The 12,865-nt window shown below is 38.6% G+C and overlaps 1 annotated feature.

Moving 5' to 3' along the window:
* Window positions 2,587–3,217: an enhancer, noted in NCBI's record as "OCT4-NANOG hESC enhancer chr3:110929660-110930290 (GRCh37/hg19 assembly coordinates)". NCBI's record gives its function as "activates a minimal SCP1, AML or CMV promoter by ChIP-STARR-seq in primed H9 embryonic stem cells {active_cell/tissue: H9 hESC(primed)}" and the evidence as "EXISTENCE:reporter gene assay evidence [ECO:0000049][PMID:30033119]".

Here is a 12,865-nt window from a genome sequence, read left to right on the forward strand (position 1 = left end):
CACCTGATAAATCTCACCTGCTAGTGCATTCTCTTCTGTGGACATACTATTCCATTTGACCACCCACTGGACTGTCAATTAGTGCCAAGGGATGGCTGTATTTTATCTATCACCGATTAGGTCCTCATTGCCTGTTAGGTGGGTAGGGATTTGGCTCCAAAATCCCATCATTTTAGTTATTTTCTAGGGCCACTCTTAAATGTTTTTAGGTTGAGTTCTCAAGTAGCAGATGTGGAAATGGAGTGTGGCACAAAGGATATTTTTCTACGGATAAACAATTGTGGAAGGGAGGGTCAGGAGGCAAGATTAGGCAGAGAGACAGAAGAACTGGTACAGGTCCATGAAGCCCTGATCCACCCCAGCAATGAGTTCTGGAGCAGGTGTGGCCCATCTGAGTTGTTCCATATTGGGCTGAAATAGCCAGACTTTGATACCTCTGCCTCCCTCAGTCTGGATGTGAGCTACCACAGGAAGGGCTGAGAGGAGGAGCAACAAGTCTTCCCTTGAAGGGGGATGTGGCCAGCGCATTTCCATGTCTACCACACCAGGAGAGGAATTCAAGGAGGTTGGAGCTACTTTCATTCTGTTGGGCTACTATTAATTTATTTACAGGATAGGGAGGTTCTATAAACGGCAAAATGACATTTAATTTATTAACTTATGTTTTCTCCCTACCTGTTCCCCCTTTTATGTTTCCTCTTAGGAGATATTTGTCCCATTCCTTTCTTAATTTCCCCCGATCTTAAAGCCATTGTCCTGAAAATAGAGTTTGAAGAGAAAACAATTTCTCTGGAACTAAATAAAAGGTCTCACAAGAAATATAGACAAGCATGTTGTCTCATATTTCCCTATTTCCCTGTGTATGTAGCAGAGCCTCAGAGGGAGAGGTTACTGAGTAAATATAGAAGGCTGGGCTGTCCTGTGTTCTAGTCCCCGGCCAGGAAACTACACAGTGGTCGGCCTAAAGAGACACATGGGCTGACACCCAGCTGTCTGAGCAGTAATTTCCAATTGACACCCCACCACCATGCTGTGTGGGATCCCAGGACTCTGGCACAATCCTGAAATAGAAAAGGTAAGCATAAGAACATTGCTGCAAGAATAGCTTTGGATTTCCAGCTCACTTTCTTGTATGGGGGCATGGATTTAGAAGAAGTTTAGTGGGAGAAAATAAAGAGATATGATATTTCCTGCACACCTAAGTGTATGGACTGATTAAAACCCTGCTTCACATACGTAAAGGATGCCGTCATGCTGGTACCTCCATCCCTACCCCTTCTCTTAATTTGTCAGGCCCTCTAAGCTTCCCAGTCTGTCTTTAGGCCATATGGACCATATATTGACAGAAGATGCCAATAGGATGTTAAGCATTTGATGCAGAGCCTCCCCCTAGGTCCTCTCCTTCCATCTCAGAGCACACTTTCCCCTGCCCCCATCCCATTTGCTTTGTCTTGCATCGATCTAACCTCAATTCCAGTCCCACAAATGTTTGTTTATAACAGCACTTTAGGAAAAATAATTGGCCCCATCCATTCTTAGTTTTATTCTCAATATTTTTCACTCTCACATTCATTTTCCTTTCCTTCATATTACTCATCTCATATATGTATTTGTTTTATTTTCAAGTTCCACATATGTGAGGTTCCTTGACATTTCTAATTGTAAAACAATGAATTATAATACTTGTAATAAAAAGCCTCAAAATGCTACCTTAAAAATGAGCTCTCAAAGTGAAAACATACTAGTATTGATTTTAGAATTCTAACTAGTATTAAAATGAGTGCTTGTGCAGTGATATCAAGCAGAATTAAAGATAGAATGGGGGAAAGTATGTGTTTCAAAACCTCATTAGGAATATCCTGAAAAGAAAAAGTTGAGATTTATTCATATAGCAAGTCACTTAATGGGTCTCATTCAGATGTTTATCATGCTTCAGAGATGATTCCCCTTCATAAAACTCTGGCCTTATCAGCCCATCAGACATGTTGAGCAATGGTAGTGCTTCTGCTGAAGAGACATGCATTTTCTTAATTCTTCCTACAGTCATTCAAAGGCTCTGGCATCTTTATGCAGTCTCTCTGTAGTTACCTCCCTTGCCTCCATTCTTCAGCTCTCATCCACTTTATATCTGCAACCATTCTCACCTTACTGTGATTTTCCTGCATTCATTCCTCCATCAATTCAATAAATGTGATTGAATGCCTGCAAAGTTCCTGTCTAGGTACTGAGAATATGGCAACGAACAAAACAAACAACAATCTCTGCCTCAGGGGGGCAGTGGAGGGAAGAGACAGTAAACAGTTTAATGAAATATATATATATATATATATATATATATGAGTAACCACATGCATATGTCATTCCATGGATTATGGAGTTTTTAAACTCATGGGAGGGTGCCAGAGAGTAATAAGTGCAAAAAACAAGGGAAGGGGAAACAGTTTTAGATTGGGAATGGGGGTGGGAGGTCAGGACAGGCCTCACTGATGAGTTGATCTTTAAATGAAGACCTGATAGAGGGGTAGGAGTCCTGCATTCGAGGGAAGAATTATGAATTATCTAAGCAGAGCAGCAAGTGCAAAAGTCCTGCAGCAGGGCTATGCCCACCATATTTGAAGAATGGCAAGGACTGAGGGGACAAATAGCAGATGAGGTCTGGGAAGGAATGGGAGGTGGGAGCTGGATTAGGTACTCCTTTGAGGGGCATTGTATGGACTTGGGCTTCTCCTTGAGTGCGAGAGGAGCTATTGGAGGGTTCTTAACAGAGGAATGATGTAATCTACTTATACTTTAACAGGATCACTCTGGCTGCCCTGTTGAAATTGACCAAAGGTGGAAGTGACAGCGGCAGGGAGTCCAGTTAAGAGACCAGTTCAAGCATTTAGCTGAGACTGTGGTAATTTAGATCACAATGGCAGCAGGAAAAGGGAAGAGTTTACTTTGAAGGCATACCCTCCTAACAATCCATGCTCTAATCCTTTCTGCCTCCCAAGGGCTGATTCAGTCTTCCTAAAAATCCACTTTTCTCATGTTGCTTTCCTACTCCAGAACACCAAATAACTCCTTGCTGACCAAATCATGTTCTGTTGTTTTTTCTAGTACTCCTTTTGCAGCTTGGCAGTCTTCCTTTCTACTTGGTCCCCTTCCACTTCCCAGCATGAGCTCTCTATTCCAGTCCATTTGTTTTATTCCTCCCTCCCCCACACATACTACCTGCTAATCTAACCTCTGCAAGAAAAGCCCGCCCTCTCTTTTTTGCCTAGATCTTTCCATCCTGAAAGCCTATTTCAAGTGCCACCTGCTCTGTGTCTTCTCTAATGTTGAAAGCCAGTGTGAGCACCTTCGTTCTTTGGCTTGGCTCTGTGAACCTGCACCTCACATGCTCACAGTTTGGCTTGGCTTACATCATTTTGCACTATTTGCTGATTTATTATTTAGTGCTTCCATAAGTTCATAAGCTCACAAAGGCTGGGACTGGATATGTACTTTTGCATTCTTTATCCACTCCACAAAGATGAGACATGTAATATGTGTTTGGCAAGTGTTTGCTAGAAAGCACAAAATCTAACATAGAGTGTTCAAAACTAAGCTTTGTCATAGTGACCTGGCAACCTATTGAATATATTAAAGACACATGGAAAAACATGGTGATGCTAACTGCCACCTACAATTCCTTACCTGTGTTCTGAACTACTTCTCCAAATGAGTATTTCCTGGGATTGTAACACACTTTAATGCCTGCCTTCTAGGACTGTAGTGAAGATATCCTATAGATTTCACATACATAATACCTATCTCCTCCAGCACCCTGTGTGGCACTCCTCTAGGTGCCAAATAGCTGGCTGCCTTTCTCATTCCTTCCCCATTCTTCCTGCTCTCTCCCACTCTGGCTGCCCCTTTTCTGCTTTGTGTGGGTTATTTGCAGGCATCATTTTCAAGGATGAATCTCATCAACATCTGCTGAGCTGCATATTTATACAGGCTCCAGGTTTCCTTACCAGCTGTGGACATTTTTGCAAACTCTACATTACCACCTAATTGAAATGGCTGTTTGGTTCCATTTCCTTATTAAAGACAGATTAAGGAAATCAGTTCAATACCTTAGCCATTTTAAAGTCATCATGAATCTCATGCTCTTGATTTACTAGCAGGCTTTAAAAAAAAATGTGTCCCTACCCATCCATCTCCTGCTTTTGATCCCCCCTTGCTGGTATTAATGCACACTTCATTTTGGCTGGTCATTTCATTCCTCTTCGTCTAGTAAACATTTGCAGTTTTTGTTCAATCCCTCCTGGACCTCTTCTAATATACCTGTTTTTTCCTCACCCATAAATTTATTTTATCGTTTGAAGTTTGCAGTTCTTCAGGAGCTCGAATGGTGACAATGAAATGCAATATTTTGAGTTTCTTCTGGGGTGTCCTTGATAGCAGCATCCTTGTTTTCTCTGAAGACATTCCTGGCTCCCTGCCAATTCAGTCTTCTCAGTCCTAAGTCTTGCCATCTCAGTCTTCTCAGATACCGTAGCTGAGACCTCTCATCCCCCACCCATTTGCAGGCTCTGGGCCCAATCTCAGGCCTTGGCAGTAGAACGTGTTGAATCAATGTCATACATATTGAGGATATTTTCTGCCAGCCTGTAGCTTGACATGAACACTAGTAACTGGCCTACTGTTTGGATGTCCTGGACCCAAGGGCCTGACCTGATAACTTGTCTAGATCTTCAGGTTATCCAGTGTCCCCCTTACCCTTGCTGGTCCTTCTCGTGAGCCACAGACAAGGGCTCAGGGTCTGCTTTTGCATGTTGAAACACCCTGACCTAGACTCACATTTGGGCAGACAGTGTATTTAGCTCTCCATGCCCTATTAGGGTCATATACACCCATCAGGGATCACTCAAGATACTCCTCCCTGCTAAGTGCTCTCTGCTTGGGTAAGAGCTGCCACCTTATCCTCCAGATGGCATGCTGTGCCTTCCTCGATGGACATCTTTCTACCATCTGCTGCTTGACAGGAGGCTGGCTCGCCAGATAGTAGGTCTGACCTGTTTCATTACCAGCAAGCATCTCACTCTGATACCCACTGCTATATGAGTGTTTGATGATTTCTGCCTACTTCAGCAAACTTCGTAAGCTTTCTTCTCAATAGGAACATCTTCAGCAAAAGGAGCTACTAAACAGTGTTTGTTTCAATTCCTTCCACATCTTCTAAGACTATTTTCTATCTTCCAGCATCTTCTTTCTCAGTGTCCAAAGTCCTCCTGCTAGAGCGGGAGTTCTGACTACAGTCTGGCCTTTCCATGGTGATGCCCTGGGCTTAAGAACTGCCCCATCTTCTTTTTTTTTGCAGCTGACGTTCTGATGTGTTGATTCTGCAAAGCACACTCTCAGAGTCTGGTAAGTTTCTCTTGAAACTCTGAGGGTGTGCTTTGCACTGAGAGTATCATAGTTACTACCAAATGGTTCCATTTATGATATTTAAGGGAAGCCCTATGGGTAGGCCTACTATACATGGTTTGAAGAAAATATGCTATACACTCAATTATACTCTTTCCTCTATGAAAAGGAAACCTCTTTAAAACTAAAAAGCTTTAAACAATAATGAATTGTCCATTTTTCACTCCTTGTAGTAATAAAGAATTTTTAAATTATAATATTCAGTATTGAAAATGGGATAATATAAACTCTCATACACTGCTTCTAGGAATATAAACTAACACATTTTTCTGAAAAGCCCATACTCTCTGACCCAATAATTTCCCACTTAGCAACCTACCCTAAGGATATAGCAAAACAGTCAAAGATTCAAGTATCAAGATGTTTATTAAATTATTATTTAAAATAGCAAATATCGAGAAACAATACAAAAACTCATTAATAGGGAAAAGTTAATATATAATGATACATTTATACTGTGGAACATTATGCAGCCATTGAAATGTTTTCCAATAATATTTTAAAGCATGGGAAATGTTGATAATATTAAGTGAAAACAGTAAAATTCAAAATGCTATATTCTGTGATGTTGGTTATGTCACAGTGGTACAGTGTGTTCATGTGTTTGTGTATGTGTATATTCTATAAATAAGGCTGAGGTCACTACATTAAAACATTAACAGCACTCCTTTATGGGGTTAGAATAGATTTTTATTTTAATGTTTCTATGTTTTCTCAGATTTTCTGTAATAAACATGTATTACATTTATAACCTCAAAAATAGAATTAAAAAACACATAGATAGTTAGACTTTGAATTCAATGTAAGCATTTTTAGCTGCTGGAGCTGTTGAGTCATGGATCCTCCAGTGGTTGATAGGAGAAATAGTCAAGTAAAATAGTAATGTCCATCTTCCAGTGAGTTTTCTTATTACACTGCTTGAGGTTATTACAGCCTTTCAACTTCTTAGCTTATGTATGTAACTCTTATTTTTTCATGTTAAAGGGAAACTCTCAAGGGATTCAGTATGACAATCATAGTGGTATAAAATTGCCTTTGTTGAGATGAACCCATTGATATGGTTTGGCTGTGTCCCCACACAAATCTCATCTTGAATTATAGATCCCATAATCCCCACATGTCATAAGAGGGATCCAGTGGGAGTAATTGAATCATAGGGGTGGTAACCCCCATGCTGCTGTTCTTGTGATAGTGAGTTCTCATGAGATCTGATGGTTTTATAAGGGGCTTTTCCCCCTTTTGCTCAGCACTTCTCCTTCGTGCCATCATGTGAAGAAGGATGTGTTCGCTTCCCCTTCTGCCATGATTGTAAGTTTCCTGAGGCCTCCTTAGCCATGCAGAAATGTGAGTCAATTAAACCTCTTTCCTTTGTAAATTACCCAGTCTCAGGTATGTCTTTATAGTAGTGTGAGAACAGACTAACACACCCATGCAATAAGAGTGCTGGAATTTAAACTGAACAGCTAACTTTGACCATCATGTCCTCATGATTCTTGCTAGAGTTCCAGAGAAAAGTGTACAGAGTAGGCTCACTATATCAGGTCCTCCCTCTCTGGATATGAAAATGGCATAAACTGTGGAGCTTCTCACTAAAGGAAGTGCAAATGGACTCAAGACATACCCAGGAAGACGGAAAGTAATTTTGAACTTCAAGAACAAAAGGTGTCTTCTGACTGTTTTAAAGTTATTTCATTTTCCCTGAAACAAACTTTTTTAAGTAAAATCCTAGAAAAACTGCCCTGGAGTCTTTTGTGTGAAGAGTAAGAGAATGGATAGTTGGATGGAGGAGTCAGGTCCTCAAGTAAGAAAGGAGGCAAACCTCAGATGCCTTCAGAGTTGGGCCCACATGTGGTCTGGTGTGTTGAGCCACACTGCAACTATAGTGTAAAACACTGCTCCAGGATCCTCCCTTCCTCCCTGTTGGAGCTGACTTGCTCCAGTTGGAAGGCCTTGCAGGCAAGCTTTGAGCTCCTTGCCTCTCTCCCACATTCTAGTTGGGTGAGGCATCCTCTACCCCTAGGACTCCCACACTCGCCTCAGCTTGTAGCCCAACATCAGTCCTTTTCCCTTGGCACTGAGTTGCTCAGCTCTGAATTATGCATTCTTTACTATAAAGGCTATATTTTCCTAACCTCAAACCAGGACATGTGGAATAAGGATACTTTTCCTCAATTTGTCTTGGAAAAGTCTTTAAAATATACAAATTAGATCATATTTAGTTATATTTAGTAAAATGCTTCTTTTGAGTTAAAAAAAATGCATGAAATCAAGCTGTCCCAGCACTTCTGTTTCTTATAGCACTGTACTTATGGCTGACTGTCCTGAGAAAGCCCTGGAGAATCCATGAAGTCTTGCCCGGGATTCCCTCTCAACTCAGGCTGAATTACTCCAACCTAAATTTGGCAGCAGTCTTCCCTCTGATGCCCTTGCTCCTGGATAACTTTGTGCATAATTACTTTACCACCTATGGACTAGCAGGCTGGCGGCTTTCAGCCATCTCTAACCCTACTCCTAAAGGAGCTTTCGTGTTTTCACTTCTAAGCTTTTAAAACACTCTATATATTTGAAGACCATTTTTAAAAATTACATCTATCCTCTCCTATTTATCAGTGGTAGTTTCATTTTTTTTCAAAGGTCAACTAAAGACAGTTTATCTCAAATTACAAATTACTTGAAGCAAGTATCTAAATAATCAATTCTAACTATGGAGTAGGCAGAGAGGGAGAAACTTCAGGGGGCTTCCCAGAGGCTTTTGAACCACACTGGGTGGGTAAGTACCCCCTCTTCTTTATAAGGTCTCCTTTATCTCTAAGATCTTGATCTTCGAAGTATGAACTGTTCTTTCTTGAATTCCAGGAAGATTCAAATATCTCATGGATGTGATGTGACGCAGGATCTCAAAGACAATGAGAACTCAGGAATTTTTCTTAGGGAAGAAGGAGAAACGTCTCAGGATGTTCTTTTAAAGATAGTTTCTTATCTTGGTCCCCTTACTTTAGAAGATGAAGATGCTCTCAGCCAAATGTAATGAGATGAGCTGTCGCCCCACTCCCTTTGACTTATACTGTTTTTGAGCCGGTCGATAAAGCACAGAACTGTCGCAACCAACTCAGGGCTTGATGATGGTGTAGGCTGGCAGCTGTGCCTTGTGCCCTGGCTATGGAGAAAGCCCATGTTCCTAGCCTGAGGCAACCAAAAAGAGACAGAACATAGAGAGACAGAACATAGAGAGACAGAATGTAAGAGTGTTCAGGAAAAGTGCAAATCCACCCCCCAAGGTAAACTTCACTCAAAATGCTTGTCCTGCTGCTGGAGAATAGCAGTGGCACCTTTTTCACTGCAAAGGAGAAAGTTGCTGTGATGCTAGGTTCTAGAAGTTCTTATTTAAAACCATTGAATATTCTGTTTTATAAAATGGAAAGCCAAATAAAAGGTTTTCTTTTTTAAATCCATTGTGACAGAATGGCCTTGAAGTATATTAATAGAGTCACCATTAAAGAAGAGGAGGGAGAAACAATGTCTTAGTTCCATTTTAATCATTGATTTCCCATGGAGATTTAGATAAACTTGTTTCCTTCTCCCTAATCATCTCCAAGAGTGGAAAGGAATTCCCCCACAGAATTTTAATGTGGGAAGGAACCCTAGAGAATGTCAAGCCTTAAGGCTTACCAGGAAAAAAAAAATCAGACATTCAATAGAATCTTAGAGCCTGCTCTACTTCCTGAGAGATTCATAAAGGTCATTGATTCTCTCGTTTGAAATGTAATCACCCAGGAAGACTTGATGAAGCAGGAAAGGAAGGGAGAGAGCTAGAATTACCCAAGCATTTAAAAATATAAATCAGTAGAAAAAAAAGTAGTTTTATTAAATGATAGATAGGAAATGAAACAAAATAAGGTCTTTGAAAATAGTTGACTAGTGATAGATATAAGCTATGAAATATACATTTTAAACAATATACAGTAATAATAATACTGAGAATCAATACTTACCCAGTGTTTGCTACAAACCTAGTTTGTCCTGAGCGCTTTACATTTGTGTTTATATTAAGTCACTTAATTCTTATGAGGTAAGTAGGATATTATTATCCAGACTTTACAGATGAGGGCACTGATGAATAGAGAGATGAAATAACTTGTCCAAGCCTATAAATAAGAGGTTGCAGAGCTGGTATTTACAGCTTAGCAGTCTTGCTTCAGGATCTGCACTCTTAACCAGTATACATACACACCATGCATTGAAGGTAGTTCCTGTTCAATGGTTCCACTCTGTTACCCAAAAAAATCTCGATCATCTCAGGCATTTATTGAGCACCTATGGTGTGCAAGTTAATTGGGCCAATTCTTACAACAATCCAAAAACTTTTGTTACTCAAGTAAATCTCAATGAAAATACTTCAGTGAGCATTCATTGAACACTCATTTGAGTCACTTCTCATGAAACTTTGAGGGGTAGTTTTCGTTACTGCTGTTTTACAAGTGAGGAAACAGATTCAGAGAGGTGATGTTCAGAGAGGTAAAGTAACTTGCCCAAGGCTACGCGGCTATTTAAGAAAGAGAGTGGATATTTGAATATGTGTCTATCTGAGCTCAAAAGTGCATTCCTTTCACTATTCTACCCTAAGAAATGCAAATGAATAATATCTGAATTTATTTTGCTTTCCATATTTTTAGTTTTTAGATATATTTATTAAATTTACCTGTGAGATCTTCATTAAACAACAAAATAATAGTCAGTTAACCCTAACTACTTTCTTTTAACCTAAGACCGTACACATATTTGCTTTGAAAACAGTCACATAAAGAATAACTGAAGGGACAAACAATATAATTAATATTCTCAACATAATACCTGGTTGGGTCACACATATGACACACATATGACTATTATGTCAACTTGAACTTGAAGGATCTTCTATAGAGATTTCAGAAATAGAACGAGAAATAGTGCCTGCTGTTTCAAATCAGCCACTTGCCACTGATTCTGGTTACAACTTCTTACTTGGCCAATGATGAGCCAAAGCTGAATTATAGACTTTGGGCTTCTCTATAGTCTCCTGGTAGTCCAAAAAGCAGCTGATTTATCTGTCAGATCTGTGTACTAAATGAAATTGCCCAGATAAACAGATGGCCTGGCCAGGGTGGTATTTCACAGCAACATGTGTTTGTTTGAATAACATAGTCATAAACCTTTCACTCTGGGTCTAAAATTAAATTGTGACTTTTGGATGTTACCTGGGGCTACACAGGAGAAAGCATTCAAATGTCAAATTTATGGCTTGGTTTTTATCAGTAAGTTTTATATAATTTTCTATATTCATTTATAAGAAAAACATAAAACATGCATGTTTTGAATGCATGGCTGGGAGAGAATGGAGGGGAGTATTGCATATAAAAATCCAATCCCCATGATTCTGATTTACAACTAAACAGACAGATTAATGCATAGGTTTGTACGTTATCTTACAAAAAATATGGTTCACTGCCATTTTGAGCCTGAAATGTTACATTCCAACACAACAGCAGGCCAAGACTTTGGGATTCACTCACTATAGGGGTATTGATTGTCACTAAATCTTTAAAAATTAAGAGGAGGCAGGGAAGAAAGCTAACAGTTTGTATAGCATTCTGCTCTAAATGGTAATCAGATGTTCTAGCTATGAATCTTGAAATTGTATCCCTCAGGAGAGCCAAGGATGATGCAGGTAGTATGGCATACTGATCAAAGGTAGGATAGGACAAATAAGAAATAAAGCAGAGTCAGTAATGCAGTTCTGTACTATTTTCTCCTCATAGTCTATATTTGTAAATAATAAGACTGAAATTTTTTGTCTTATTAGAATCACACATTATTATTTGGATATTCTAATAATCCCCCTCCCATTCTTTGTGTTTATCTGACTACTATCCATATGAATAAAAGGAATGGCCATATTCTTTATAATACTGTGATGGAATAGCATTATGGAAACCATTTTCTCTTTTCTATTTACGATTATGTTACGGCATTCTAATAAACATTTTATTTTGAAATAACTATAGATTCACAAGCAGTTGGAGGAAACAATACAGAAGATATACCCTTTATCCCCTTTCCCCCAGTGGTAACATCTTGAAAAACTGTAGTACAATATCACAAACAAAAAATTGACATTGATACAATTCATGGACCTAATTCAGATTTCACTAGTTTTACCTGTATTCACTTGTGTGTTTATGTATTTAGTTTGATACAGTTTTATCACATGTATAGATTCCTGTGATCACTACCACAGTCAAATACAATTCCTCAGAAGGATTCCTCAGGCTACCCTTCTAGAGCTGCAGCCACTTCCTCCTTCTCCCCAGTCTCTAACCCCTGACAACCACTAATCTGTTCTCCATCTCTATAGTTTTGCCATTTTTTGAATTCTATATAAATGGAATCATATAATATGTAATCTTTTGAGATTGGCTTTTAAACTCAGCATAATTCCCTTGAGATCTAACCAACTTGTATTCCTTGGTATAGATCTATTACAGTTTGTTTAATCATTCACTCCATTGAAGAGTAAATGATTAAACAAACTATGGCTCATTTCTAGCTTTGGACTATTATGGATAAAGCTGCTATAAACAATTGTGTACAGATATTTGGGTAAACATCAATTTTCATTTCTCAGTAACAAATGCCCAAAGATACAATTGCTAGGTTTTATGGTAAGCACATATTTAGTTTTGTAAGAAGCTTCCATACTCTTTTCCAGAATAGCTACACCATTTTACATTTCTACCAGCAATATGTTATATTGTTTTTATAATAATAAAATGAAATTCCACACATCTTTGATAAACCAGCTTAATTTAAGTTCTCAGGGAGTTTATCCTTCCCTCATTACTTTTATCTGTCTTCAGTTCTATCTTATATTTCATAATATTTGAGCCATTCATTCACATTTGTGGCCTTTTAATATTTAAACATTATTTTTTATTTTAAAGTCTCATTCCAACTAAATTGAAAACTCTGTGCATCCTAGGATTATTTTTCTTTGGTATTTTCCTCACAGAACCTGGCACAATAATTAGTAATTAGAAAATGGTTTTTGAATGATTAGAGTTGAATAGATAAAAGGCAACGTGAATCAATAAAACACACTGTCATTTTCAAAAAATTACCAACTTTCTCTTTAGAAGTGATATTATCAGACTTGGTATACTCTAGAATCATTTTTATTAATCAGTTTACAATAGATAAGCAAATTGAATGTCTGATTATTCTATTTTCTTCCCAAAATCACCTTGATGCTTTCTCTATAAAGATGTTAAACCACTATGGAAATATAAAAATATTGTAACAACTTATTAATTAGAATTATTTAATTTAATTACTGCTTTTTATTGCCTTTCTCCAGATATTCTCACTTGGCCATCCT

This window comes from Homo sapiens, chromosome 3 (genome assembly GCF_000001405.40).
Source record: "Homo sapiens chromosome 3, GRCh38.p14 Primary Assembly".
Lineage (NCBI taxonomy): Eukaryota > Metazoa > Chordata > Mammalia > Primates > Hominidae > Homo > Homo sapiens.